This window comes from Homo sapiens, chromosome 1 (assembly GCF_000001405.40).
Source record: "Homo sapiens chromosome 1, GRCh38.p14 Primary Assembly".
Lineage (NCBI taxonomy): Eukaryota > Metazoa > Chordata > Mammalia > Primates > Hominidae > Homo > Homo sapiens.
Window position 1 is genome coordinate 53385011 of NC_000001.11, and position 26652 is coordinate 53411662.

The following is a 26652-nucleotide window of genomic DNA, read 5'->3' on the forward strand; positions in this document are numbered from 1 at the left end:
CAACCCCCAGGAGGGACACAGCACCTTCTGTTTTCCACTTGCTCAGTTAGTACTTGTAGATTCACAAATGAGATAAGAGACAAGAGGACTTGCAGTCAATTAAAATAACTTTGCCACCAGCTGAGTATAACAGAATCCTTAGCAGACCTCAGTTCAAATCCTGTCTCCATCACTTTCTTTGGATGAATTACCCCCCGCTCCCCGGTCTTGGTTTCCTTATTGGTAAAGTTAGAAGAATGATAACCAGAGAATTCCAGAAGAGAATACTGTAATGCAACATGCTGGCAATGTTGGTGGGCAGGACAGTGACTGATCTCACTAAAGAATTTGTGGTTCTTTCAGAGGTCGGGGCAGGAAAAGGGCACTGGGACTTGGGGGCAGGGGTGTGGGCCTGAGGGCAGGAGAGACCTGTGCTGGGCAGAGGGCCTACTCCACTCCCTCCAGGACGGAAGCGTGGCCTCTGTGTCACTCTTGGCTTTCAGTATGCTCAGACACTCCGTGGTCAGTCCCAGGACTGAAGTGTTCCTTGGGGCTTGGCACCTGTAGGCTATCTCAGCCACCCGGCTCCCTTGGGCTTCTTGCAGAGAGAAGGGTGAATGGGCTTCTATTAGCCAAGCAAATCCCAGTGGTTAGAAGAAATGGTTCCAGCATAGTCAGACTGTCCAGATTAGAATCCCAGCAGCACCACCAACTTGCTGTGTGCCCTTGATCAAGTTAATTCACCTCTCTGAGCCCTAATTTCCCTATCTGTCCCTCACAGGGTTTTTGCGAGGATTAAGCATTTAACGCCAAGCCTCCTCCAGATCTCTCCCAGAGCTGGAGGAAAGGAAGCTCAGTTGGAGCAGGAGTGCAGCTAACAACAGGACTTGGCTTGCTCTGGGCTCAAGAGAGAGGCCTTGTTGAGGTTCACCAGTATCTGGAGCAAACCACAGTCTGGCTCCAGTGCTCAAGATGGTGCCTGATACAAAGACAGTAAGGGCTCCTCAAGTGGGAGCTGTAGTTATTACGATTTTGGGCACAGGCCCTCATTCAGAAAGTGGAGGAGTTTAATTACAGGCAAATTGTGAATAATGTGATTCTTTCATTCCTGTAACTGTGACTTTGAGACACCTGCTCCATTCAAGAAAAAAATAGGTTTAAATTGAAAAACGCTTCTTCTGCAGTCCTTAATCACCACCTCATTGAAGTGCGTGGTACAAAACGTCTTCTGCTGAGGAAGTCTGAGAGTGACAGGAAGAGCGTGAGAGGGAGGACAGAGCCCCTGCGTGGGGAGGGCCGACCTCCTTTGACTTGGCTGGAAGGGGGACTATCCTGACATGGAGCAAGATCGATGACACTTGGCCCCAGCCTTGACAGAGCATTTCACATTCCTCTAAGTGACATCTATGAAAAGTTTAAAAGCATAAAAAGCATAAAAATGCTTATTTGAAAATGTTGAGTGAGAAGAGCAGGATATAAAATTAGATGGCCAGATGATCACAACTATCTAAAAACAAACGTAATCTCCTTCCCAAGATGGAATAGCAGGGGCCAGATTAACCTTCCCAGATGAAACAACAAGCCAGACAAAATACAGGAAACAATGAATTTCAGACATTGAGGACCAGGCAGCTCAGACAGTGGCCCCCGAGGGAGGAGACTCAAAGGCGAGCATGTTGGATTGCCCAGCTGCCAGCCTGGGGAGAGGCTGCAGGGCAGGAGGGCACCAAGGTGGAGCCTACCCTCCCTGAGTTGAAGAAACAGAGTGAAAGTCCAGGGAGCCATGGCGCTAGCTTTCAGAGGGCAGAGGATCCAAGAAGGGAAAGCTGCCCACAGAGAAAGTTCCGGCAATTTGCAGATGGCCTCCCTTGTGCCTTCAGCTGAGCACTGATCAATGCCTGTGTGAGAGGAGATTACCTAAGGCTGCAGAAAAGCCACCAGAAAGGAGCGCGGGAGTGACGCCTGGACTCACACAAGATAGGGAATGGTTTGTCACAATAGTCATAGATACAAAATTCTTAACCAAATGTTATCCAGTGGAATCCAACAATATATTGAAAGGTTGATACATCATGGCCAAGTGGAGTTTATCCACTTGGAGTGTAAGGAGTGTAAGGTTGGTTTAATATTTAAAAACCAATCAGTGTAATTCAGCATATTAATAGACTAAAAAAAGAAAAATATATGATCATCTTAATAAATGAAAAATATTTTTTATACAATCTGGTCTCCATTTATAACAAAAATTGTTCTCAGCAAACTAAGGATGGGAGGAAATTTTCTCAACCTGATAAAAGGCATCTACAAAAATTATTCAGCTAGTGTCATTATTAATCATTAATGGTGAAAGATTGAATGCTTTCCTCCTACAATTAAGAATAAGGCATGGATATTCTCTCTATCATTACTATTCAACATTATACTGAAGGCTCTAGCCAGTGCAATAAGGCAAGAAAAAGAAATTACATGCTTACAGATTAGAAAGGAAGAAGGAAAACTTCTTTAGTCACAGAAGATGTGATCATCTATGTAGAAAATCTTATAGCTCCTACAAAAAATTACTAGAAATAATAGGGAGTTTAACAAAGACACAAGGTCAATACACAAAAATCAATTGTATTTCTATATACTAGAAATACAGAAATTGTGTGTATACTAGGAACAAAGACTTAAATTTTTATATTTAAAAAAGTAAGACTATACAATTCATCAAAATATGAAATATTATGAATAAATTTGTCAAAAAATTCAAGACCCAAACATTGAAAATTTACAAAACATTGCTGAGAGAAATGAAGATGTAAATAAAAAGAGAAATATCTCATGTTCATGAACCAGCAGACTCTGTATTATTGCTAATTATCCTCAAATCGGTCTGTAGATTCAATGCAATCCTAATTATATCCATCAGGCTTTTTTGTATGTGTGTGGAAATTGTCAATCTGATTTCAATTATTTATATGTAAATGCAAAAGGATCTGGAATAGCCAAAACAACTTTGAAAAAGAGCAAACTTGGAGGACACACACTACCTCGTTTTAAGACTTATTATAAGGCCACAATAAGTAAGATAGTGTGATACCGGTATAAAAATAGACAAATGAATAAATGAAACACAATGAAGTGCAGTAAAAGACCTACACACGTACAACTGATTTTTGAGAAAGGTGAAAGGATGCACTTTTCCGCAAATGGTGCTGGGACAGTTGTATGACCCAAATGACAAAAAATGAACCTTGACAGTTACCTTATATGTAAAAATCAGCTTGAGAACAAGCTAAACTCTAAAACTTCTAGAGGAAAACATAGGAGAAAATATTAATGACCTTGGGTGTGGGAAAGATTTATTAAATACAACACAAAATTACAAATTATAAAAGAAAACAAATCAGTAAGTTGGACTTCATCAACATTATAAAGGCTTATTCTTCAAAATAATCTGTTAAGGCTGGGCTCAGTGACTCATTCCTGTAATCCCAGCACTTTGGGAGGCCGAAGTAGGTGGATCACTTGAGATCAGAAGTTCAAGACCAGCCTGGCCAACATGGCAAAACCCCATTTCTACTAAAAATACAAAAATTAGCCCGGCATGATGATGCGCACCTGTACTCTCAGCTACTCGGGAGGCTGAGGCACAAGAATTGCTTGAACCCAGGAGGTGGAGGCTGCAGTGAGCCGAGATTGCGCCATTGCACTCTAGCCTGGGCGACAGAGTGAGACTTTGTCTCAAAACAAACGAAACAAAACAAACAAACAAAAAAAGAATCTGTTAAGAAAATGAAAAAGCAAGCCACAGACTGGAAGAAAATATTTGCAAATTATATACCAACATAATGATGAGCGGTGCACAGCTTTGTGAATATACTAAAAGCCACTGAATTTTACATTTTAAAAGGATGAAATTTATGGTATGTGAATTATATCTCAATAAAGCTGTAAACAAAAACAGCATATATCCAACAAAGGACTTGTATTTAGACTATATAAAGAACCCTTGCAACTCAATAAGGTTATAAACTCAATTTTTAAAACTGAGCAAAAGATTTGAACAGACATTTCACCAGAGAAGATGTATGAATGGCAAATGAGCACATCGAAGATGCCCCGGATCATTGGGTCATTAAAAGACAGCAGATTAGAACCACAAGGAGACACCACTACACACCTGCCAGGACAGCTCGGATTTGTGTCCCATTGCGTCAGCCCCCAGGCAGCACAGTCAGTGTGGTGCACCAGCTCCCAGTGTGTGCAGGAGGCCATCTGCCTCTCCTCACCTACAATGTCCAGCCTGGCACTCCTAGTACCCACCTGCCATGTTAAGGAGTTCACTCCACCCCATTTGGCAAGGACAGTGTCTGGATCCCAGGCTGGGGGTGGGGGGAAGTGTGGGAGAAAGGGGAAGGGGAAGAAATAACAAAGGAGACTGGTGGATGGTGGCAGCAGTTGTGGCCCAGGGGTGGGGAGGGGGGTGGGTGAGTCTGGTTCCCAGCAGGCGCCAGCAGTGTCAGGGAGCTTGGGGGCTGTCTTAGTCCATTCAGGTGGCTATAACAAAATACTGTAGACTGGGTAATTTATAAACAATACCAATGTATTGCTCACAGTTCTGAAGGCTGGAAAGTCCAAGATTGAGGTGCTGGCAGGTTTGGTGTCTGGCGAGCGCCTGTTCCTTATGGACCGCAACTTCTTGCTGTGTCTTCATTTGGTGGAAGGAGCAAAGAAGGCCCCCTGAGGATCTGTTTTGTCTCTTTAATAGAGACGGGGTTTCACCATGTTGCCCAGGCTAGTCTCAAACACCTGGCCGGAAGTGATCCACCCTTGGCCTCCCAAGTGCTGGGATTATGGGTATGAGCCACCACGCCCGGCCCCGAGCATCTTTTTAAGGGCATGAGCCCCATTTATGAGGGTGGAACCCTCATGACTTAATCACCTCTTTATATTATCCCATTGGGTATTAGGTTCCAACATATGAATTTTGGGGGAACACCAACATTCAGATCACAGCAGGAGCCAGGAGGATGGGTAAGAATGAGCAGAACCAGCCAGTGTGAGGGCATGGACTCAGCAAGCCCTGAGGAAGAACAAAGGGCAGATCTGAGAACTTAGCAGGCAGCCTCAAAAGGACTTGAGGAGTAGCTGGATTTGAGTGGGTTTGGGGGACAGAGAGAAGGACCTGCCAGGGGGTCAAGATCATGTAATCCACCAAGGCAGAGAGTATGAGGAGCAGGAACGTGAAAAGACACCAGCTGCCACATCCCAATTGTGCAGTCTGGGTGCCCCTGGGCATCCTGGTGCTTGCCCAGTGGGCCACTGGTCGTGTGTGTCTGCGGGTCAGAGAGCTCCAGGCCTGAGCAGACAGCATGATGGTCAGCAGAGGGAAGCGTCTGGAAGCCTTGAGAGTGGAGACATTGCCTCGGGAGGAGGCAGAGGAGCCAGGGCCAGGTGCCAGGGGACACATACATTAAGGGAACACCAGGCTCTCGAAAAGGGAAATGAAACCAAGTGGCCTGTTTTCCTGCCAGCTCCTCCCTGGCTGTGACTTGAGACAGCAGAAGGAGGAGAAGGGGAGTGGGGAGGACTCTGGCCCTGAAATTGGAGGAGACAGGCCTCACAGAGGCACCAGACAAAGGCACCCCCTCCAAGGAACTCACCAACCTGGTTTCCTAATGTTCCAATCTATGTGTTTTTTTGTTTTGTTTTGTTTTTTTTTTAAAGAAGTTGGGCCAAATTCCAATCTGTAGTCCACCAGCCCTTCTGCTCTTTCCCTTTTCCTTCACTCATGGACCCAGAAGTTACCGAGTGCCTACCACCAGGCTGCTGCTGGAATACCCTGGGGAATGAATCAGACATAGTCTCTGCCCTTAGGGACGGGCGTTCCAGGCTGGTGGCAGCCAGGTTAACAAGGGGGCTGGCAGTGACTCCCACAGGGCTCTCTGGAGGGTCAGCTCCAAACCCTTTTCTTCTCTGTTTCCAGCATTTTGTTCTCCCTTAACATAGGTGCCCCTCAGCGCATGGGCCCGCCTCCTCTGCCACACTCTCCCATCTCCCGGGGAACATCTCCACCCTCGAAGCTTTCAGCCGCTCCCCTCTGCTGACCACTCAGCTTACTCAGGCCCAGAGTTTTTTCCTTTCTTTCCTTCTTTTTTTTTTTTTTTTTTTTTTTTGAGACAATGTCTCCTTCTGTCAACCAGGCTGGAGTGCAGTGGCAGGATCACGGCTCACTGCAGCCTCCACCTCCCAGGCTCAAGCAATCTTCGTGCCTCAGCCTCCCAAGTAGCTGGGGCTACAGGCATATGCCACCACACCTAGCTAATTTTTTTCATTTTTTGTGGAAACAGGGTTTCATCATGTTGCCCAGGCTGGTCTTGAACTCCTGGGCTCAAGCAATCTTCCCACTTTGGCCTCCTATAATAAAATGCTGGGATTATAGGTGTGAGTGACCACACTCGGCCTCCTGGAGCTTTCTGACCCTCAGACACACACAGCCAGAGGCCCACTGGACAAATGCCAGGATGCCCAGGGGCACCCAGATTACATATTTGCCAAGTGGAAGTTGGTGTCTTTCCACATGCCCACACCTCATAGTCTCTGCCTCTGTAAATGGAAGACTGTCCCCTGCCCCCACTAACTCATCCTCACTTCTCTCTCTCCCTCTTCCAACAAATCCAGTCACTCAGGGAGTCCCACTGACAATGCCTGCGGAGTTCTTCTTGGATCTGGCTACATCTCTCTCCCTAGTACCTGTTCAAGTTCAGGCCCTCATATCTGATTGGTTCCCTCTCACTTCCATCTTTCTTTGGTCTTAAATCTCCCTAGTATGTAGTATGTAGTATGCAGCAGATAGGAGATTTTTAGTTGCAAGTGACATAAACCTAACTCAAATTAGCATAAGCAAAAAATTGAATGTATTGGCTCACATAACTAAAAGGCTCAGGTTCGCTTCGGGCATGGCTGGATCCAGCAGATAAGCAAAGTCAAGAGGACCTGGTCCCTCTGCTTTGCCATTTTCTTAATCAACATAATTCCCTGGCACACTCTCTCCATGGGCTGGTCTCATTTTTCCCACATCAAGGCCAGCAGAGAGAGATTTTTTTTTTTTTTTTTTTTTTTTTTTACAGATCTAACCAGAATCCAGCTGCATTTCATTGACTGTGACTGGGTTGCACAGTCATCCCTACACTAGTCACTGGGCACAGTGTATGCAGTACTCTAATGGGGCATGTCTGCACCATGTGCTTACCCCTGAGGTTGGCATGGGGTCAGCACCACATAAACCATGTAGGCTACAAGTAGGGAAAGGAAGGTGCCTCCAGGAAAATCCCTGTCTCTGTTTGGGTACATAGGATGGCTATGAAATTGGTGTCAGGAGAAATGACCAACACTGCCTTACACAGGAAAGCACCGGCAGAGAACGGGAAGCTGTGAAAGGTTTGCTGAGCAAAAGCAGCATTAATTGTAGTCATTTACACACACATTTTCTTTTCTGCCCAATTATACCACGCAATCGCCATCACTTCTTTCTTGGGCGTGGGATTAACTCTGTTGTTCGTGATGTTTAATCACATCGCCGAACTCCGCTCTGAGACACTCGTCTGCACAGCGCCCCCCCCCGAGCAAGGCTGCCCTCTCTCACCCTAACACAGCCAGTGCAGAGCCTGCTCCGGGCCCACACAACACTGCCCAGCCAGGGCAGTTCTGAGCTGACCCTGGAGCTGACTTCAAGATGAACCTACACACACACTTGGCCTTGGGTCAGAGCCAAACCTGCCCGGGCTCTAGGAGGCTAAAGCCTTGTTGTGAGTGTTATGGGAGGGGGTCCCAAGGTCTCCTCCTGCCACGCAGATCCCCTGAGAGTGAGGGGCCTAATGGGGGAATGGGTTGATTGTGTGTCAAGAAATGGTCAGGAGATCGAGACCATCCTGGCTAACACGGTGAAACCCCGTCTCTACTAAAAATACAAAAAATTAGCCGGGCGTGGTGGCGGGTGCCTGTAGTTCCCAGCTACTCGGGAGGCTGAGGCAGGAGAATGGCGTGAACCCGGAAGGCGGAGATTGCAGTGAGCCGAGATCGCGCCACTGCACTCGGGCCTGGGCGACAGATCAAGACTCCATCTCAAAAAAAAAAGAAAGAAAGAAAGAAAAAGAAATGGCCCTGGTGAATGCTTGTAGGGGTCCCCCGGGAGCCTCTTCCAATCAGTATCTCCCATCCCCTAACCCCAGGATTACCTGTGCCCCTTCCTTGATAAATAGGACCCGCCATCTCGGAAAAAGCTCCTAGGGCATGAACCCCATTTATAAGGATTGTCAAGGCCTTCTCTTGAAAATACTGGGCCTGATCAAGGGTGTCAAGTGCAGAGGGCTTGTCCGAACACAATTTATTGAAGATGTGTGCCCATCTAGGTTTTGGCAGAAAGAGGAAAAGCAGGACATGGGTTCTGAGTGTATAAAGGACACAATTCCTGAGTGATCCCTGTGGGCGAGTCCGGAAAAAGTCATTTGTCCTGGGGCGCCCCCTGCTGGCCACAGACAAAAACGGCGTCCCCAGAGCTCAGGCCTGCCTGGGTAGACAGAGGCTCAGAGAGCCTGCGCAGACCTGCCTCTTTAGGCCTGGGGACCTCCATGCTGGCCAGCATTCCTCGGGGGCATGGTCAGATGGCAGCCCAGAGGAGAGGTCAAGTCCTGCAGCCTCTGACGGCACCCAGCTGCTGTACACAGAAATGTGTCCAAGATATTTTCTCTTCTCCCTCTTGGCATCAGGCTCCAAGGGTTGGAGCCTTGGCCCACCGCAAAATGACTGGAACTGTCTGGGCAAATCCCTTCACTTCCTCAAGGTGCTGCTTGGCCCTGTAAAATAGGGTTGAAGTGCTTGCTGACTTCGCAGGTAGCCTGCGACAGATCGTAATAGGTGAACACAATTTGCAAGGTGCTTCTGTGTGTCACTCGAGATGATGCTCGCACAGGTGCCCTGTAAAAGCCATGCATGTCTTAAACGTGTTGGCTGTGGCTCAGGTAAACAAATGTGGGAGCAAATCGTCCCGTGGCTCAGAGAGAAGGTGTACTGTGGTACCAGCCTGGAAGAGGGCAGAAGTTCTTGCAAGCTCTCCTGCCAGCTCAGCCCTGGCAGCTCTGGGACAGGTGTGTGTGTGTGTGTGTGTGTGTGTGTGTTCACTAACAATAGGGAACTCTGCAGCCCCATGGCAGCAACCCCTCCAGGTGCCCTGAACTTTTTTCTGGGCTTCAGGATTGGACCCTGAGGGACTTGAGGTGGTAGAGGTCTATCCATGTGTCCGTCCCAAACCTGTGGGGCACTGTCAGCCTTTTACAGCTTCTCACCATTTCTCTGCCCACTCCAACCTCATCCTTCCCATCTCACCTTGTCCAGACCCTCATGGGCTGGAAGGAAGGTGGCAGCCACTGGCTCTGCCACTGCTGCATCCCGCTAGACCACGACTAGACCATGACTCCAGCCTCCTGGCCACCGCTTTGCCCAGGCTTGATCTCCTGCATGCTGCCACAGAGAGATCCTGTTCCCAATCACAGCTCGCTTCTCTGCTAAAGACCAACAATCCTTCCCCATAATCAATGGAGTCCAGTCTCTGGATGTGCCCTTCTCCACCCCCTGCCCCCCGTGCTGTGCCCCCTGGCTGCTAGGGCAGCACCACTTCCTGCCCCTCGCTCTACCACTGCTTGGGCTCTGCCTTGTAGAACAACAGAAATGTAATGAGAGACACAAATTCAAGGCACATAAGGAATTTTACATCTGTTACAAGTCATATTTTTAAAAACGGAAAAGAAACAGGTGAAATTAATTCCATAATATTTTTAACCCAATATTTCCAAAATATTACCATTTCAACATATAATCAATATTAAAATTATTAAGATAACTCACATTTTTTATACCAAATATTTGAAATTCAGTGTATAAACAGCACATCTGAATTCAGACTAGCCATGTTTCAAGGAACCAAAACCACACATGATTAGTGGTGACTTTATCAGACAGTACAGTTCTAGAACCTTCTCTGGCTATTCCAGCCCCTGCCCGCTTCTCCCTTCTCCCTGCAGATGGTTTAGGGTGCTTTCTGGTTGTTTCTTGTCCGTGAGGGTGATTCAGCCAAGGCCTGGAATCCCAGCCTGTCTGAAGACTTCAGCAAGACCTGGGAAAGTCTTTTCAGGCCTGTGGGGGCTCCATGGTCAGTATTTATTAAGCTGCATGTATTCAGTTTTAAAGATAGGTCCATATTCTGAGATTAGTTTCTTTCCAACATTGGGTATTAAAATCTGCCCCCTCACTTTTAAATTTTTTATTTTTGACATAGTGGGAGAGAATTGTGGTTGCTTTTAATGGCAAAATTAAAAGGTGACAACCTTATGAACCAGAGATATTACAAAGAAAAATAAAACCCAAATGCTAGCATGTGAAACCCAGAAAGTGGCAACTCCTGGGCCCCACTGGCTGCCACGGCAATTTTCCTAAAATGAAGATTGGATAATGTTGCTCCTGGAGCTCCACCATTACCTCAGGAGGGTGCAGAGTCAAACACTCATGAGCCTTCAAGATCAAGAGGGCGCTTACCAGCCATCACATACATAATTCTCCAGGAAGAACGCATTGCCGCACCCCTCCCCCAGCCTCCCCCCAACCCCCGGCCCCTGAGGCCAAGCTGCTTCATAACTCCCCTGGCTCGTGCCAGCCTCTGCCTCTCAATAGCCAACTCCTCCTCATCCCTGTCCCAGCTGAGCTCCAGGAAGCCTCTCTGACCTCCAATCAGGTTCGGGCTAGCCCCTTCTTGGGCTTCTGCAGTTGCACGGTTCCCTCTGTCTCACCTGTCATAATTGTCTGCAGCTGGCTCTGCTACCCCACCAGAGTGTGCTCTGCCCTTGTCCCCAGTGCCTGCGCAGGGATCGCACCCAGGGAGAGCTCAGTCTTGGTGAGGGTTGCAACAAAGGAAGCAGCAGTCCTCCAGAACCCAGCCAGGAGGGTGCCTGCTGTACGGAGGCTGGAAACCCGGCTACCAACCTGATCTGCGGGGGCTGTGGCTGGAGGTGCCTCTCCTGGTGGAGCTGTCTCTGGGCCATTCCCTCACACCAAGGTGGGAGTGCCAGGTGGCACTGGACCTCCCCCAAAGACACTGAAGGGGCTCTTCCCACGTGACCATTAAGGCAGGGACTGGGATGCAACAGTGGCAGAGCCGGTGGCTGCCACCTTCCTTTCTCTTTCCCCAGGAATTTTCAATCAGCTGTATTGAGGCATCATTCGCATATAGTAAAATTCACTTAACAGAGTTTGAGAAGTTTCGACAAAGTGTTTCCATCACCCCACAAAATTCAGAGCATCTCCATCACCCCCAGATCCCCTCAGGGCCCTTTGTGGTTGATTCCTTCCCCTGCTCCCCACCCTGGCCACACTGGTCTCTCCATCTCTATCCCTGTGGTTTGTCTCTTTCAGGATGTCATAGACATGGAACCATTACTCATGCAGCTTCCAAGCTGGCTTCTTTCACTCGGCACAGTGCTTTTGAGCCTCACTGCTGTGGCGCTTGCGGGAAGCTTCCTCCTTTCCATTGCCAAGCTGTATCCCGTTGTAAGGATATACTCAGTTTATCCACCCCCAGCGGAGGGACTACCCCTTTCATTTTAAGGGAGGACAATCAGAGGTCCTAAACAACTGTGGATAATGTGGTCCTAGGAGAGAAAGAGGTGGCAGGAGCCCCTACCAGAGGGGACAGTCAGGACAGTCTCTAACCAAAGGTTTCTCGAACCAGGTCACTGTCCCTGCTTCCCAGCAGGGCTATGGAAGTGATTTTCTCCTGGCTGCATTCCCAGATCTATCTGATCAGGAGCCTTCTCCACTCAAAGTCTTTTGAGCAGTGCATTCGTTTAATTTTCCCGGTATGGATGTTCTTTTTCTCAATGGGCAGGTATCAAGGGGTCATTCAAAAGCCATATTTATGCTCCTCAATTATGCCTGCCCTTCCTGAGCCAGGCAGAAGAGGCAGCTACAGGGGTCTCGCCTTTGCCTCAGGGGCGTAGGAACCACATGAATAAGACAAAGGAGCCGGGTCGGGGGAGACAGAGAGCTGAGGCTGTGGCTCTGGCCAGCTGTGCCTGCAACAAGAGCCTTCACTTCTCAGGGCCCCAGTTCCTAGGGTCTGAGTGAGAGGGACTCTGACAGTTCTTAAAGAGCTATGGGCAAAGCTAGCTCCCTGAAGACCTGAGTTCAAGTGCCAGCTCTGGACTAACCATGGGGCCCTGGCCAAGTTGTTTAGCTCCTTTGGACTCAGTTTCCTCATCAAATGTGAGGCCATGCAGATGTTCCTTAGGCAGAAACACCGAGGAGTCCCCCGTACCTTCTACTTGGTCGGGAGGTTATGGACCCTGCCCCTTTCTCCTGTTTCTCAACATTATTTAAATGGTCCTGATATGCACCCACCTCCCCCACTCCCAGGCATTGGATGAGCGTCCCCAGGCCTGTACCCTTCTAGGGATTAGGGAGCCAATACCCTTCAAGTCCAATGTTTAGATTAATGCTCTGTGAACAAGAATGCCCCCTCTATTGATTTATCCTGCCTGCGTCTCAACTCCCTTCCCCCTCCCCAGTCCTTCATGTATGACCCTGAGCAAACTACTTCCCCTCTCTATGCTTCAGTTTTCTCATCGGTTAAAAGAGGGGGGCAATAAGGCCCAGTGCAGTGGCTCACGCCTGTAATCCCAGCACTTTGGGAGGCTCAGGTGGGCGGATCACCTGAGGGTAGGAGTTCAAGACCAGCCTGGCTAACACAGTGAAACCCTGTCTCTACTAAAAATACAAAAAATTAGCTGGGCGTGGTGGCACACGCCTGTAGTCCCAGCTACTTGGGGGGCTGAGGCAGAAGAATCACTTGAACCCAGGAGGCGGAGGTTGCAGTGAGCCGAGATTGCACCACTGCACTCCAGCTGGGCGACAGAGTGAGACTCTGTCTCAAACAAAAAAAAGGTGGGGGGCAATAATAGCACCGACACACATAGGGCTGTTGTCAGGATAGAATTAGATGTATATGAAAGATGGGAAGTGTTTCAAACAGTGCCTCTCACAGGGTCAGCACTCAATATGAGCTTGCCGTGATGATGATGAAGATGGGTTTGTCCTGCAGCCCCACAGTATCCAAGGTCGGGCCTGTGCCATCATGCAAATACTTACACTGGTGCTCCTGAGCCATGCTGGAAGACTTCCCCCATCCACTGCCTAACTATGCCTCCAGCCCTCACAGTCCAGAGGGGAAGCCTCTGAGAGGCCTCCTCACATGTATTGCTAGTCTCAGCCTCCACTGGGAATGGTGGAACTTGGTGATGACATCAGCCCCTTGGAAATCCGAAGAGCTTTGTCATGTATTCTAAAAGTTACAAACTCCACTGACAAAACATGTCCTGAACGTTTTGTGCCTTCGGTGCTGCCTCTCCTTTGTTCTGGGCCAGCACTGGGGCTTCCTTTCTTTTCAAATGCATATCTGAATTTCCTTTCAAATGTATTCTTTATGATACCATATTTATTGTTACTCCCAGCTTTCAAAATATATATTCAGTGCACTTTTCAAATGGTCAAAAGGTGTTTGCTTTTGGTTGAAGGCCTCATTCCTCTGGGCATCGCAAAACAATTTCTGGAAAGCTGGTGAGGAGGGATCTTGAGCTGGACTCGGGAATAAGAGACCTTGTTAAAGTGCTGTGTTGAGACAAGAGTTTCATAAGTACTCTTGTCCCTGCACCCAGGGGACATCTCATTTTTTCCTGCAACACGCTTGCAGGAGCCGTGCCTTTGCAGGCAGGATCCCCAGCTGCTAGGTCACGCCCACAGCAGAAGGTCCCAGGGACTGGGAGTAATCGTCAGTTTCCCATCGTTGCCATCTACGGAGGCTCTGCATTGTCATGAGCACCTCGCAGTTATGACCTCTCACCCTGCAACAGCCCTGAGTCGTGGGGCTTTCTATCCTTATTTCACAGCAACAGGCCCAAAGGTAAGACATAGTTGCCCAGTTACACCACTGGGAAGGGCGGACAGAGACACAGAGAGACCCTGGGGGAACCTTGGACTCCAGAATCCTCTGTCATTGAATACATCTGTGTGGGACAGAATGGAGGAAACGTTGCTGCATCTTCCCATCTGCCGCGTGGCTTTCGGTTTTAGTATTTTGTATTTTGGTATACACTCGGCAACGTTAGTCAACACCTTCATGTGTACGGGCAAAGGATTACCCGGGTGCCGAGGCAAGAGACTGAAGGCACAAACTGTTGCAGTATAATAAAGAAAATAGTTAGAATAAAGAATAGTTATAATACAAATTAGATATAGAGATAATCATGGGCAATTATCAATCATTAGTATAAACATTATTGATCATTAGCTTTTAATATTACTCTTTGTTGTGTTACTAATATAACCAAGGAATAACCGGCGGGTATAGGGTCAGGTGCTGAAGGGACATTGTGAGAGTGACCTAGAAGGCAAGAGGTGAGCCCTCTGTCACGCTTGCATAAGAGCCACTTGAGGGCTCCTTGGTCAAGCGGTAATGCCAGTGCCTGGAAAGGCACCCATTACTTAGCAGACCATGAAAGGGAGTCTCCTTTCCTTGGACGAGTCAGGGAACACTCCGCTCCACCAGCTTCTTGTGGAAGGCTGGATATTATCCAGGCCTGCCCGCAGTCATCTGGAGGCCTAAACCCCTCCCTGTGGTGCTGTGCTTCAATGGTCACGCTCCTTATTCACCTTCATGTTCCTCCCATACTCCTGGTTCCTCCTTGAAGTTCTTAGTAGATAGTGGTAGAAGAAATAGTGAAAGTCTTAAAGTCTTTGATCTTTTCTTACGAGTGCATAGAAGAAAACGCTGACATATGCTGCCTTACCTCTCTGCTTCGGCTACCTAAAAGGGAAGGGCCCCCTGTCCTATGATCACGTGACTTGCTTGACCTTATCAATCACTTGGACAACTTACTCTCCTTACCCTGCCCCCTTGTCTGGTATGCAATAAATATCAGCACGCCCAGTCATTCAGGGCCACTACCAGTCTCCACATCTTGGTGGTAGTGGTCCCCTGAGCCCAGCTGTTTTCTCTTTATCTCTTTGTCTTATGTCTTTATTTCTTACCATCTCTCGTCTCGGCACATGGGGAGAGCACCCGCTAAGCCCCATAGGGCTGGACCCTACACATGTGTAAACTTCCTTGATCTTTTCAGCGTGTGATTTGGTGTTTGGTTATGTGCATACCCTCCCTGAATCCATCACCACCATCAAGAGCGTGGGCGTATCTATCATCCCCCAAAGCTTCCTCTTGGCCCCACCTTGGCACCCCACCCCGAAACCCCACCCCCTCCTCCAGGCTACCATTGATCTGCTTCCGGTCACTACAGATTAGTTTGCACTTTCTAGAGTTTCATATATACTCTTGTTTGGTGTGGCTTCTGTCATGCAGAATAATTATTTTGAGATTCAGCTGTGGTATTATATCAATGGTTCATTTCTTGGAATCTTCCTTGAGTTCTTATAATAAGCTCTACTTGGTTATGGCCTAGTATTCTTTTAATACACTGGTAGATTTGGTTTGCTAATAGTTTATTTAGGACTTATGCATTATATTCCACAAAGAGGGTGATAAACCAAAAATTGGGCCCGGAATAGACCAACCAGATAGCAAAGAGCAGCCTAGCAAAAACATGGAGGAGGCTCCTGTTACCAGAAGGACCAGCAGACACAGAGCAGGCAGACTCAGGCTGAATTAACTGACCCCTCTCAGCCGGGCCTTCCTTAGAAGAAGAAAATAGTGTTTTGTTTTGTTTTTTAACTTTATTAATTCCAGAGCGTTAGAATTCAAAAGAGTGAAAAGCCAAATACTATTGTAAAATGCTTGGAAAAACACAGACCCACTCTACTGGGAAAGAAAGCCATGGTGTGGTCACCAGAGCAAAGCCAAGACTCAGGACATTTCTAACAGCCGAGAAACACTCTTCCCGGTCGTCGCCTCTGAGAAACCACGGTGTCCTCTGGGCACCTCAGAGCGGAGGGACAGACAGGAGAGGAGCCTGGGTGAGGGGAAGGGGAGAAGCAAGGAAGAAAGAAGAGGAGAGAGGCAGAGCTGAGAGACAAAAATGGGGGAGGACAAGAGAGGGGAAGGAGGAGAAGAAGAAAAGAGACACAAAGAGGGAGAGAAGAGGGAGCAGGGAGAGAGAATGATGTTAGTCATTCAAAACAGCTGCAAATCCGGGGAAGCTGGTTAGCTCACTTCCTGAAGCCATGAGCAAAATAATGATATCTGAGGAGCTGTGAGGGTGTAGGGGCAGTGGCATGAGGAGAAGGGGTTCACTGTAGGCTGAATTGGGTCCCCCCAAAGGATATGCTGAGGTCCCAACCCCCAGTGACCGTGAATGTGACTTTATTTGGGAGTCGGGTCTTTGCAGAGGTAATGAAGTTAAGTGAGGTCACACTGGAATAGGGTGGACCTTGTAATAAGAGGGAAGTTTAGACACGACACAGAGGAAGACACTGCGTGAAGGTGCGGGGTACACAGACAGGGGAGAACACCATCTTGAAGACAGAGGCAGGGACTAAGAGCCATGTGCCTACAGCCCAGGAATGCTGAGGACTGCCAGCCACTGACAAAAGCTAGAAGAGGCAAGGAAGGAACCTCTTCTAGAGTCTTCCGAGAGTGTGGCCCTGACAGCACCTTGATTTCAGGCTTGCAGCCTCCAGAACTATGAGAACATCCATTTCTGTTGTTGAAAGCCTCCCAGTCTGTGGTGATTTCTTATGGCACCCCCTAGAAAATGAATTCAACGTCCCATCAGTGCATCCACAGCCCCCTGTGAGGGGCTTATCTGGGCCACCTAAAACTCACATGTTGAAATCCTAACACCCAGTAGCTCAGAATGTGACTATACATAGAGACAAAGTCTTTAAAGAGGTAATTAAATTAAAATGAGGTTATTAGGAGGGGCCCTAATCCAATATGACTGGTGTCTTTATAAAAAGAGGAAATGTGGACACAGGCACGCCCAGGGGGAAGCCCATGTGTAGACACGGGAAGAAGACAGTCATGTATGAGCCCAGGAGAGGGGCCACAGAAGAAACCAACCCTGCCAACACCTTGATCTCAGACTTCCAGCCTTCAGAATTGTGAGAAAATAATGTCTGTTGTTTAAGCCGCAGTCTTAATGGTGGGATTTCGTTATGACAGCCCAGCAAACTAATCTACCCCAAGCCCTGATGGGTGGGAAGGCAACTGGAGACTCCTCTGCCTGCACCTTTGGGCTGGCAGCACTGGCTGCCAGGAGCTGGCTCAAGGATGGGGTGGACGGGAGTCAGCACACTAAACCATGAGCCCCCACCTGGCACCTGCCCAGCCTTTGCAGGAGCATGGTTCTTACCCAGTCTCCCATTGCAGAGGCACCTCTGAACGTCCTGCTTCCCCAGGCCACTCCTATGTGAGGCTCCCTTGTGGGTACCTTGGCCTGGGGCCTTCCGCCTGTGCCTGGACTTTCCCATGTACGCCCTTGGACATGCCTGGCCACAAGCACCACGTGGGGGCTGGAGCTGGGCCTCTACGAAGGGTAATCATGTTGATAGCAGCCAGAAACAGATGGGTTCCTAGGCAGACAGGATGGGTCCCCGGTGAAACCTGACCTTCAAGACAAAGACAGCTTAAAGCCTGAAAACTAGGCTGTCAGTTCCAGGCAGAGTCCACAACCCAGAGTGAGAACTTCCTTGATGCCTTTTAGTCAATCCAATGGTGCTTCTTCCAGGCCCACCCATGGATCAATCAGGAGGCTCTCCCCCTATTCTGAGCCCATTAAAACTCCCGACTCAGCCACACCTTGGGACTACCCACCTTCAGGTAGGGGCTACCCACTTCAGGTCCCCTCCAGTGTTGAGAACTGTTCTGTCACTCAATAAAACTCTTCTCCACCTTGCTCACTCTCTAGTTGTCTACATAACCCTCACTCTTCTTGGACATGGGACAGAAACCCAGGACCCACTGAACGGGGGTGGGAAATGAGCTGTAACACTCTGCTGGCTTGGGGTGGCTTCCCCACATGATGGAAGCAGCAGCTGGGCCAGGCCAGCCCAGGAGCCCTGGGCCAGAATGGGGCAAAGGGACTGAATAAGCTGTGACATGCCATTGTTTGCCAAAGCATGCAGATGGCAGGAACAAGCAAGCTGTAACACAAATGAGCCATAACATACCCCCTGTTACATGCCCCTCGTAACAACCCCCCATACCATTCACTGCACTGCAGGGGTGGGAAGGAGAGAGAACTGTAACAGCTCTTGGGGGTTCAGGCCTCCGGACTCTCCAGGTAAAAGCCATATCCCTTGGGACTCCGTGTTGCTGACGTCTGAGAGTTTTCGGGCACTACTGTATCCCCCTTGCCTAGATGCTGGCCCCAAGGCGGAAGCTGTTCAAGGTGGCAAGCTGGGACCAGTTGTGGGCAGAGCACAGAGCCGGGGGTGTGGGGTCTGGGTCAGTAGCTGGAGCTGAGCGGGGCCCACTGGACCGAATGGGTGGAGGGAGTCCAGCAGCCAGCCCAGAGCCCAGTGAAGCCCAGCAGAGGTGCCACTGACCACAGAGGTTTCCAGCTGGAAGAATCCTGTGTCAGTGTGACACACTGGGCCTTCCACACCTGGGCAAGGGATTTTCATGCTTCACTTCTGCCCCTAACCCTTCATTTTCTGCCCAGTCTGGGAGTTCACCTTTCAGAGCTGCCTTCTTTTGAGTGGAGCCATATTCCTGAGAAGCATGTCAGAGCAGAAAGATTCAGCCTTCTTGTCTTTTTTGGTTTTGCTTTCTTTTAACACATGAGGAAACTAAAGCCCAGAGAGGGAAAGGGACCTGTCCCAGGCCACACAGCTATTTGGGGATCAAATTAAATCCAGAACACCAGGCCAGTAAGGCCAGACGAGCCCTCAGCATGCTCAGCACAAGCACCTGGCAAGTTCTTGTACAATCCCGTTAGGTCACTGTTATTTCTGCCTAACATTTACATTAACATTTGGGGTGAGCCACAGAGAGCTTTTTCAAATTTTAAAAGCACTTCAATATCTTATTTATTACAGCAAAATCTGGTTTAAGTCACTGTTCATAAAACTGTGATTTAACGAAGAGCTTTTATTACAAAAATAAATTTCAGTAATAACTGCTCAACCAGACACTTTGCAATTAAAAATAAAACTGCACAGTAAAGAGAAATGCAATTCACAATAAACTAAGTTGTTCTTTCTCTCCCCACTCCACCTGCCTGGGCTCCACAATATTGCTACTGGATTTCAAACCATTTGCTGGCATTAGTCTGTTTAGTACAGCTCAGTTCTCCAAATAATAGGACAATTTCATATTTTTAGCTCAGGATTAATGCCCTAAGAGATAGTCACATGTCCTTTCAGTTCTTAGCTACAAACTCTACCAAGATTCGGCCACTCTAGTGTGTCTGTTTGCTTAATGTGATCTTGAATTTTGATCTTGTCACAATCTACAATGAAAGCTCAGAGGGAAAGAACCTCATTGTATTAGATCAGACTGTCATAACAAAATAGCATAGACTGGGTGGCTTAAACAACAGACATTTATTTTCTTGCATTTCAGGAGGCTGAGAGTTTGAGATCAGGGTGCCAGCATGGTTGAGTTCTGCTGAGGGCTTTCTTATGGATTGTGGACCGCCACCTTCTTGCTGTGTCCTCACTGGCAGAGCGAGAGAGTGAGAGAGAGCGAGCGAAAGAGAGCTCTGGTGTCTCTTCTCATAAGGGCGCCAATCTCACTGTGAGGGCCTTACGCTAAGGACCTCATCTAATTCTGAGAACTTCCCAAAGGCCCCGTCTCCAAATACCATCACGTTGGGAGTGAGGGCTTCAACATATGAGTGGGGAGGACGTAATTCAGTTCATACCACCCATCTACCTAAAGCAACTGGCTGGTTACTTGCACAGTGCTCATGAACAATTTTGCACTTAGGATCATACTAGTGGAAATAATTTTTCCTCTTGCATGTCTCCAAGAAAATATTTTTTCTCCAAGCAATGTCCCCTTTGGTGTGCTGGTGAGGACCGTTGAAAAGGAGTAAAGTGTGTTTAAATATCATTCATTCAAAGTAAATGGAAGGGTTAATTGCTGTTCACAGTTCTGGAACTGCTTTCTTCACCTGCAGAGCCTCTAAACTAGTAGGAGATTGCAGGGATCGCTGATGATTTCCACCTGGTTATTACTCTATTCATTCCTGCTCCTCTAACCTTTCTGTAGTTTATGGGTGAAATAGCTCTTGTAGTGAAGAAAGTCAGCAAATGCTTTTGATCATAAGTACAGATAATACACATCCCACGGACTCTGTTTTGTGGGATTTTTCTATACATGTTGACATAGCTAATCTTTGCTTCTGCAGCATGTACATAAATATTATACAAGATGACTGGCATATGGTACTGTTATGTGTCTTTTAAGAAAATCTCCAACTGAATCCAATATTTCCCATGTGGCACCTGATACACTGTGGGCGTGGGATATTTATAGAGCAGTAATAATGGTATTTGAAAACACTGTGATGTCTAAAGCCTCCATTTCCCTGAAAATTTTGTCTAGAAGGCTGCATTTCTCAGGCATAAGCTCTTGCCAGCCATTCACGGTGATTACGGGAAGGTTAAGCATTGTTGGGACTCACAAAACAGCTGTGTTAAGCATTACTACCTCTGAACGCTTCAGGAGGAAAGCCACATTCTCCTGTGGAAGGAAATAGTTGCAGGTAAGGACTTATCGCCTAACCTGGCCTTCTAATGCTAGTCTTTTGCCCTTCAATAGAATTAGGTTTTCTGAGCATTTCTCCTTAATGACCTTAGTCGTGCCTCAGGCTACATATGGCAGTTTATGAAATTGTAGAGTCAACGAATCTTAGAATCAGAGGACTTGTGACTGGGAGTTAACCTGGTTACCATTTTAACCAAGCTGTCCCCTTTTTTAAAATTTGAGACAGGGTCTCTCTCTGTCACCCAGGCTGGAGTTCAGTGGCACGATCATGACTTACTGCAGCCTAGACCTCCCAGCCTCAAGTGATCCTCCTGCTTCAGCTTCCTGAGTAGCTGGGGACTATAGGTGCGTCTCACTACATTGCCCAGGTTGGTCTCGAACTCTTGGGCTCACGCAATCTTCCTGCCTTGGCCTCCCAAAGTGTTGGGATTATAGGTGTGAGCCACCGTGCCTGGCCCATCCCTTTTTTAAAAAGTGAGGACCCCAGTGAGGACATTAGTTTGGTGACAGAGGTGGGACTGAGGTCTTTTTGTTTTTATCTTGGGGCTCACTCCATTGCACCTGGCTTGTTTCTGTAGCTAATGTAATCCAGCCCTATTCTATTTAATTTACTGTATGTTACTAAAAAGCCCACCTGAGTGATAGCTCCCACTTTTATGTGTCTACTACATGCAGGGCCTCTACCAGGTCCCATTGCATCATGTCATTTAATTTATACCAGAACCTTATGAGGTAGGCATTACCATCTCCATTTTACACATGGGGAAACTAAGGCTCAGAGAGGTTGAGTGTCTTGCCCAAAATCCATCACTAATAATTGGCCAAGTCAGGGCCTGAACCTGGGACTATCTGACCCTGCAGTCCACGCTCCTGCCATCAGAGTTGGAGACAAGATGAAGCTGGAGACAGTCCTTCTGCATGAGCAGGAAACGTTATTTTACTGGCCAGGCCAGAGGTATGGACATTGGATATACATCTTACAGCCTGAGTTCCATCACAAGTTAGCCACTGACCACTCACCAAGTGCCAGGCTTAGGGGACCCAGAGGTGAATGGGGCACAGCTCCTGACTTGGAGGAACACTCTGGCTATGTGGAAGACAGATGTGTAAACAGATGACAATAGCACCTTGTGATCCAGGCTAGACAGAAGAATTGTCAGGGGCTATATAACCTTAACCCTAGAGGCTGGGGATAGCCCCAGGAGGTGCTGATGCATGAGCCGGGTCTGGAAGGATGGAGAGGAGTGGGTCAGCTGAAGAGGGGGCTTGGAGGGGAGGAAGGTCTTCCAGGCAGAGGAACCTGCATGTTTCATGGCAGAGAATTAGGAGAGGGCCGAGGGAAGCTGGAGGGGTGAGAGTGGGGAGGACCTAAGTCAGAGTGGTCATGGAGACCAGATGACAGAGGGCCATGGGTGTACTGCTAAAGTCAGGGGCAGACCCCACTCAGGAGGCTAGGGGAGTCCTGAGGGTCTTGGGTAAGGATGATTGTCTGACCTTGGACAGATATGCAATCCAGCCTAGAGGGAGGACTGGGGGAGGAGGCCAGGCTGGGGGCAGGGTGCCTGAACCAAGGTGAGGATGGCCATGGGAAGAGAGAAGGAATCCTGTGCAGAAGAGGGAATAGACAGCCTGTGGGGAGGGAGGGGGAACCAAGGATGACTCCCAGGTCTCAAATCGGCACAGGAAGGTGGTTTGTGGTGCCAGCAGCTTAGCCTGGGAACACAGCGGAGAAACAGCTGAGCAGTGGTAGAGATTCCCCAGGGAAGGCTAGAGAGGATGAGGATGGGGAGACTGAGGCTGGACCCCCTGCCAGTGCCTGGCAGGAAAGGTGATATAGTTTGGAAATCCGTCCCCTCCAAATCTCCTGTGGAAATTTGATGCCCAGTATTGGAGGTGGGGCCTGGCGGCAGGAGTTTGGGTTATCGGAGTGGATCCCTCTTGAATCGCTTTGCAGTGTCCTTGCTGTAATGAATGAGTGCTCGCTGTATGAGTTTACCTGGAGGTCTGGTTGTTTAAAAGATCCCTTCTCTGTTTCCTTCTCTCTAACCAGGTGATACCTGCTCCCTTCACCTTCTGCTGTGAGTGGAAGCTCCCTGAAGCTCTCACCAGAAGCAGATGCTGGCACCATGCTTCTTGTACAGTTTGAGGAACCATGAGTTAAATAAACCTCTTTTCTTTATAAATCACCCAGCCTTGACTATTCCTTCATAGAAATGGAAGCAGACTAAGACAGAGGGAGATAGAGATGGTGTAGGTGCAGAAGAGAAGCTGGGAGAGCAAGGTGGGGAGGAGGAATGCATCTCTGTAGTCCCCATGGAGTGAGGGCCAAAGTCACTTGCTGAGGGGAGTGGGCAGGGGTTTGAGAGGGGAGTGAGGGTTGAATGGAGGTTGGGTGGAACAGGGAGATGACAGTTCTGAACAGTCTGGCAGTGCTGAGAACCCAGTGGCACTCAGTAGCCTGGGTAGGCATGGAGAAGGTGAGGCCATCAGACTGTCCCTGGGTAGGGTTTGCTGGGTGGGTGAGAGGCAAAACTGGGGCAGTGTCGGGGCGGAGTCTGGGCCCATGAGGAAAGGAGGGTGGGAGGCAGGACAGACTCACAGGCTATAAATTTTGCAGAATCTGAAGAAAGTCACAAATGAGACTCATCCCTTAAGTCTCCAGACAGTAACTATGGTGCCAGGATGACTCAGGCCCAATCTTTTTGGGGCTTCCCAGTCAACAGTAGCCTGACCCTAAAAGAGCTGCTCTAAGCATGGGCCCTGTACAGGGAACTGTGGAACAGTGGGCCTGTGAGGCAAGGTCCCTGGCCTGCACTACCCACCTGCCTTCCCGGGCAAGGCTGATGTGCTGCTGAGAGCTAGGTGACCCTATGAGGGGGCTAAGGGACCCCACTAGGGAGCTAGGTGACCCCAAAAGGGGGCCAGGGTACCCCACGAGGGAGCTAGTGGACCCCATGAGGGGGCTAAGGGACCCCACAAGGGGGCTAGGTGACCCCACGAGGGAGCTAGGCGACCCCATGGGGGAGCTAGGGGACCCCACAAGGGGGCTAGGTGACCCCATGAGGGGGCTAGGGGACCCCACGAGGGGGCTAGGTGGCCCCACGAGGGAGCTAGGGGACCCCACGAGGGAGCTAGGGAACCCCACGAGGGGGCTAAGGGACCCCATGAGGGAGCTAGGGGACCTCATGAGGGGGCTAGGTGAGCCCATGAGGAAGCTAGGGGACCCCAAACAGGGGGCTAGGGAATACCCTGAGGGAGCTAGGGGACCTCATGAGGGGGCTAAGGGACCCCACGAGGGAGCTAGGGGACCTCATGAGGGGGCTAGGGAATCCCCTGAGGGAGCTAGGGAACCCCACGAGGGGGCTAAAGGACCCCACGAGGGAGCTAGGGGACCTCATGAGGGGGCTAGGTGACCCCATGAGGGAGCTAGGGGACCCCAAACAGGGGGCTAGGGAATCCCCTGAGGGAGCTAGGGGACCTCATGAGAGGGCTAAGGGACCCCACGAGGGAGCTAGGGGACCTCATGAGGGGGCTAGGGAATCCCCTGAGGGAGCTAGGGTACCCCATGCAGGGGGCTATGGGACTCCACACAGGGGGCTAGGAGACCCCACAAGGGGGCTAGAGGACCCCACGAGAGGGCTACGTGACCCTATGAGGGGACTAGGGGACCCCACGAGGAGGCTAGGTGACCCCAGGAGTGGACTAGGTAACCCCAAGATGGGGCATAGGCTCTGCTGCAGGTCCCAGCTGGGAGTTTGAAGGCCGCTGGAGAGCTCACCTAAAGGAGAAATCCCCGTGCATTTGGGAGTCGGGGAAGGCCCCTCTCCCTAGTGACTTGTCTCTGTTTCTGATCTCTGTAGTCTCTGAAATGCCACATGGCTGGTCTTTTTAAAGATCCTGCCAACAAACAGAATCTAGTAAGGAGGACACCTGGAGCGTGCTGGCTGCCATGTCTGGTGCTCCCATGTGCTGCTTCTGTGCTGCATAATCACCTCTAAAGGTGAGCGCTGCCCTTCTCACCAGGCTGGGGAGAGGCTAGGGAGCTTGCCTGAGTGGCCGTGCTGGAATCTGAACCCACAACTGTCTGACCCTAGATCTGTGTTTGCCGAACAGGGAGACGCAGGGACCCCAGGAGACTCTCATAAGTCCTGTCGGGGCAGAAAAACACTGCTGCAGTTGGGCCACAGAGGTTTCAATGCAGGCACCAGATGCGTAACTCAGCCCTGATGTACCAGGTGTTAGGCTGGTTGGGCTTGGGGCCAGCACATGTAGCTACCCTCAAGGAACTTCCAGCATGAGAGGCAACCTCAGAGAAGTTTTCAGGAAACTGCTTTTATGGGGTTTAGACCCTTGGGAGAGGTGGCCCCCTAAACAACCTTCCAGTCGCTGGTAGAATGCTGCTTTTGTGCAGAAACATGCCCCAGGCAGATGCTCCGCTCTGTGACAGCATCTCTGCTGTTTGGCCATGCACACATCTGCCCACCCACTCTGCCGCTGACAACAGGATATGACAGATCTATGCTGGAGGGAATGTGAGACCGACAGGTCCCGGAGGAGACGAGGCACTCACGGTGGGGGCTGCTCCGCTCCTCCCGCTGGCCCCCTAGTGCTGCAGCTTGGGGACTTCCATCTGTGGCCGGCCGTGTCACTCCTTTCTAACCCAGCCTGGCAGGTGCTTTTGCTGAGGGGCTGTAGGATGAGGGTCTGTGTGCAATGCTGATTCATTTTTGTGGCAGGAGATTGATGAGATGTTTGAGGGTGACTGGACGCACTCCCTGGCTGCCTTCAGGAAAGGATCAAGCTGGTGGGAATGAATTCAATCGCTCCGACTTAGCAAAAGGTGTCTTGAGGCCTTTCCCTTCCTTTTTGCATCACTACTGGAGTCTTAAATCCTAAATTACTTTTCATTCGAAACAGATTTATTTTTAAAGTATTGGCCCATTGTCATTTCAAAAACTTTATTCACCATTGCATTTAAGGAGTTTGCCAGCTTCCTTCCAGCCGCAACTTTGGACTGCAGAAGATCTAGTGTGTTGCAAACCACCAGTTTTTGTTTTTAGAAGGACGGGTTTAATGTTCAGACTTTATCTAATTATGGATAATTATGATGTCTTGCTGAGAATTCACAGTGGGATATGGGCTCTGCAGAATAAGACAAACTGACTAACACGGTTCCCGCCTGGTCGATTTTGAGTCTAAATAGTCACATTTAGATTTCAGTAATGGCGTGGAACATGAAGAATTCTCTCACGCTGCGTGTGTGTGTGTGTGGCTGGTGGGGGAGAGCAGGGAGGAGTGTCACTAAAATGAAGGCTAAGCAAAAAAGTCCTTTCCTAGGCTGGCTGGTGGGCTTGGGGCCAGCACATGTAGCTACCCTCAAGGAACTTCCAGCATTAGAGGCAACCTTAGAGAAGTTTTCAGGAAACTGCTTTTATGGGGTTTAGACCCTTGGGAGAGGTGGCCCCCTAAACAACCTTCCAGTCGCTGGTAGAATGCTGCTTTTGTGCAGAAACATGCCCCAGGCAGATGCTCCGCTCTGTAACAGCATCTCTGCCATCTGGCCATGCACACAAAAAAGTGGAGGTAATCAATAATCTAAAAGGAGGTAAGAAAAGGAGAAATAAATTAATGAAAGGACTTAAAAAAAAACCTGAAAATGAGGCTTTGTTCATAACATGAGCAAAAAAGAACGTAAATCCTTCAATAAATGCTGCAACCACCGGCGTCGCAGGCCCCTGACTCTCATTCCTTAATGCAGCAAATATCGATCAGGTGCCCACTGTGTGCCAGATTCCACGCATGGCAATCTTTTTAAATCAGTAAACACCCCTACATGTCCAATTCTGTTGTTGTACATGTTACAATCACTGATTGATGACACTTTAAAAAAAAAAAAAAACTACAAACCTTAGGTCTGTAAA

At 49.1% G+C, this 26652-nt stretch overlaps 10 annotated features.

Moving 5' to 3' along the window:
• Positions 7887-8387: an enhancer, noted in NCBI's record as "H3K4me1 hESC enhancer chr1:53858569-53859069 (GRCh37/hg19 assembly coordinates)". NCBI's record gives its function as "activates a minimal SCP1, AML or CMV promoter by ChIP-STARR-seq in primed H9 embryonic stem cells {active_cell/tissue: H9 hESC(primed)}" and the evidence as "EXISTENCE:reporter gene assay evidence [ECO:0000049][PMID:30033119]".
• Positions 7887-9130: a biological region, named in NCBI's record as "hESC enhancers GRCh37_chr1:53858569-53859069 and GRCh37_chr1:53859129-53859812".
• Positions 8346-8575: a silencer, noted in NCBI's record as "fragment chr1:53859028-53859257 (GRCh37/hg19 assembly coordinates)". NCBI's record gives its function as "represses an EF-1alpha promoter that drives an FKBP-Casp9 reporter gene in an ReSE screen in K562 erythroleukemia cells {active_cell/tissue: K562}" and the evidence as "EXISTENCE:reporter gene assay evidence [ECO:0000049][PMID:32094911]".
• Positions 8367-8661: an enhancer, noted in NCBI's record as "tiled region #1525; HepG2 Activating DNase unmatched - State 12:CtcfO, and K562 Activating non-DNase unmatched - State 12:CtcfO". NCBI's record gives its function as "activates a minimal TATA promoter and a strong SV40 promoter by Sharpr-MPRA in HepG2 and K562 cells {active_cell/tissue: HepG2 | K562}" and the evidence as "EXISTENCE:reporter gene assay evidence [ECO:0000049][PMID:27701403]".
• Positions 8370-8429: an enhancer, noted in NCBI's record as "active region_1048". NCBI's record gives its function as "activates an Ori minimal core promoter by ATAC-STARR-seq in GM12878 lymphoblastoid cells {active_cell/tissue: GM12878}" and the evidence as "EXISTENCE:reporter gene assay evidence [ECO:0000049][PMID:35858748]".
• Positions 8447-9130: an enhancer, noted in NCBI's record as "H3K27ac-H3K4me1 hESC enhancer chr1:53859129-53859812 (GRCh37/hg19 assembly coordinates)". NCBI's record gives its function as "activates a minimal SCP1, AML or CMV promoter by ChIP-STARR-seq in primed H9 embryonic stem cells {active_cell/tissue: H9 hESC(primed)}" and the evidence as "EXISTENCE:reporter gene assay evidence [ECO:0000049][PMID:30033119]".
• Positions 8500-8609: an enhancer, noted in NCBI's record as "active region_1049". NCBI's record gives its function as "activates an Ori minimal core promoter by ATAC-STARR-seq in GM12878 lymphoblastoid cells {active_cell/tissue: GM12878}" and the evidence as "EXISTENCE:reporter gene assay evidence [ECO:0000049][PMID:35858748]".
• Positions 11593-12468: an enhancer, noted in NCBI's record as "H3K27ac-H3K4me1 hESC enhancer chr1:53862275-53863150 (GRCh37/hg19 assembly coordinates)". NCBI's record gives its function as "activates a minimal SCP1, AML or CMV promoter by ChIP-STARR-seq in primed H9 embryonic stem cells {active_cell/tissue: H9 hESC(primed)}" and the evidence as "EXISTENCE:reporter gene assay evidence [ECO:0000049][PMID:30033119]".
• Positions 12469-13343: an enhancer, noted in NCBI's record as "H3K27ac-H3K4me1 hESC enhancer chr1:53863151-53864025 (GRCh37/hg19 assembly coordinates)". NCBI's record gives its function as "activates a minimal SCP1, AML or CMV promoter by ChIP-STARR-seq in naive H9 embryonic stem cells {active_cell/tissue: H9 hESC(naive)}" and the evidence as "EXISTENCE:reporter gene assay evidence [ECO:0000049][PMID:30033119]".
• Positions 23462-24057: an enhancer, noted in NCBI's record as "H3K27ac-H3K4me1 hESC enhancer chr1:53874144-53874739 (GRCh37/hg19 assembly coordinates)". NCBI's record gives its function as "activates a minimal SCP1, AML or CMV promoter by ChIP-STARR-seq in primed H9 embryonic stem cells {active_cell/tissue: H9 hESC(primed)}" and the evidence as "EXISTENCE:reporter gene assay evidence [ECO:0000049][PMID:30033119]".